Genomic DNA, 2,693 nt, shown 5'->3' on the forward strand with positions numbered 1-2,693 from the left:
GCAGGAGAATCGCTTGAACCCAGGAGGCAAAGGTTGCAGTGAGCCGAGAACGTGCCACTGCACTCCAGCCTGGGAAACAAGAGCAAAACTCCATCAAAAGAAAGAAAGAAAGAGAGAGAGAGAGAGAGAGAGGAGAAAAGGCAGAGGTAAGGCTTTTTTTTTTTTTAAAGAGGAGAGAGGACGATGGACCATCGTGTCAGCCCCTTCAAATACGGAGTTCAAGTTCTCCGGGCTAGTCTTACCTGGCTCATGGCTCTAGCTGAGGAGACAGCAGCCACCCAGAAGGAACCGCTGGGTCTGTCTCCCCATCGAGGTGCTGGCACAGGGTGGGCACTTAAGGAATCGTCTTCCAAAAGGGAGTTTGGAGCTCACCACGCTAACCTGCGTATTCAGGAAGAGCTGTGCCCAAGAACATGTTCATCTCTTGATTCCTTGAGAGACAGGTCAGCATGGTGACTTTAAACAAAACCCTGGGCCAGGCATGGTGGCTCACATCTGTAATCCCAGCACTTTGGGAGGCTGAGGCAGGTGTATCACTTGAGGTCAGGAGTTCAAGACCAGCCTGGCCAACATGGTGAAACCCCGTCTCTACTAAAAATACAAAAATTAGCCAGGCCTGGCGGCGGATGCCTGTAATCCCAGCTACTCGGGAGGCTGAGGCAGGAGAATTGCTTGAACCCAGGAGGCGGAGGTTGCAGTGAGCCGATATTGCCCCACTACACTCCAGCCTGGGCAACAGAGCAAGACTCTGTCTTGGGAAAAAAACAAAACAAAACAAAACAAAAAAAACCCTGCACCAACCCTCACATCAACTTTCTTGTTTGAAAAACTTAAACAATAGGAATTGTTGGATTGGACTGGACAGTCTGTTGCAGCTACATGGGGAGGAAGTGAAGTCCCAGTCTCTGTCCCAGGGCCTTGCACCCCAACCTTGGAACCCTAGACCATCCCCTTTCCACTCTGTGATCTCTGAAGCTCCTACTTCCCAGGCCCTGGGGTAGGCCAGCCCTCAAGCCAGCCGCTGCTGGTGAGTCAGACATGGCCCCGCCTTCAGTCTGGCTTGGGGGAGCAGACCCGTAAACAACCAGGCCACATGGGACACACGCCTGGGGGACCTCGGGAGAGGAAAGAAAGACCGGCAGCTGCCCTGGGTTCAAACAGCAAAGCCAGTAGACTCGGCTTTGAGGCAAGGTTCATCTGGCTAGTTTGTTCATGCATCCCTGGTACTGGCACAGTGCTGGGCAGACACAAAAAAGCAACAAGTACTCCAGCTGGGCAGGTGCGTCTCTTCTCTGTGCTGAGCACTCCACAAAAGTATTTGATGTGAGTCATAAAACAGCCGTGTGAAATAGGTACTATTGCTCTCCCATTTTTTTTTCTTTTTTCTTTTCTTTTTTTTTTTTTTTTTTTTTTGGACAGTCTTACTCTGTCACCCAGGCTGGAGTGCAATGACGTGATCTCGACTCACTGGGTTCAAATGATTCTCCTGCCTCAGCCTCCTGAGTAGCTGGGATTACAGGTGCTGGCCACCATGCCCAGCTAATTTTGTATTTTTAGTAGAGACGGGGTTTCACCATGTTGTCCAGGCTGGTCTTGAACTCCTGATCTCAGGTGATCTGCCTGCCTCGGCCTCCCAAAATGCTGGGATTACAGGCAAAAGCCACAGCACCTGGCCCTTTGTTTTTCTTTTTCTTTCTTTCTTTCTTTTTTTTTTTTGAAACGAAGTTTCACTCTGTCACCCAGGCTGGAGTACAGTGGTACAATCTTGATCACTGCAACCTCTGCCTCCTGGGTTCAGGCAATTCTCCTGCCTCAGCCTCCCAAGTAGCTGAGATTACAGATGCATGCCACCATGCCAGGCTAATTTTTGTATTTTTAGTAGAGACGGGGTTTCACCATGTTGGCCAGGCTGGTCTCAAACTCCTGACCTCAGGTGATCTGCCCTCCTCAGTCTCCCAAAGTGCTGGGATTACAGGCATAAGCCACTGTGCCCGGCCTCCTCTGCCTTTTCTACAAACAAAGACACTGAGCCTGGCCTGCTGTCCCATTTTATAGATGACAAAGTTGAGGCACAGGAAGGTTAAGCTCCCTTGCCCAGGCAGCTGGGATTTGAACGCAGGCAATCCTGTTCTTCATGTTGCAAATGAATGAATGAATGAATGACCACATAAGCCAAGAGGCCCTTGCTGCAGTGTGTCCCAGACCCCGTCCTCCTTGGCCGCAGTGAGGGCCAGCATCAGTCGGCCACCAAGGCGCCCCTGCAACAGGGAAGGCTCTGATGATCACCCAGGTCCTGGCGTCAGCCCAGAAGGATTTACTCTTTTTTATTAAAAATGTCACGGGAAGTCCACTTGAACATTTGAAGTCAACGCCAAGAGTGCACACGTTTGATATTAATTAAAGCAAAAGATGACAGCCCCCAGGAAAAGAAGTAATTTTCTTCTCTTGGATAAATGACCTTTCAGGAGAGCTTGTTCTTCAATTCTTCTTGGTCATTACCAGAAATTACTGAGTATGTTCAATGGAGCTGCAATCACCAGCTCTGTTTGCAGCTTTCGGCCTCCCAGTAAGAGGAGGGTCTTCATTCCACGGGGACTCCTCACCAGGGACTGTTCCCTACTGGTTTCACCCGGCCAGGCCAACAGTGATGTCCTTGGTAAATCTGAGCCCTAAGGCCCCATTTGAAAGAATAC

General features: G+C 50.1%; 1 annotated feature.

The window, feature by feature from the left end:
- Positions 924–1,218: an enhancer, noted in NCBI's record as "tiled region #7827; HepG2 Activating non-DNase unmatched - State 4:PromP, and K562 Activating DNase unmatched - State 9:DNaseU". NCBI's record gives its function as "activates a minimal TATA promoter and a strong SV40 promoter by Sharpr-MPRA in HepG2 and K562 cells {active_cell/tissue: HepG2 | K562}" and the evidence as "EXISTENCE:reporter gene assay evidence [ECO:0000049][PMID:27701403]".

The sequence above is a fragment of the Homo sapiens genome, chromosome 14 (genome assembly GCF_000001405.40).
Source record: "Homo sapiens chromosome 14, GRCh38.p14 Primary Assembly".
Taxonomy (NCBI): Eukaryota; Metazoa; Chordata; class Mammalia; order Primates; family Hominidae; genus Homo; species Homo sapiens.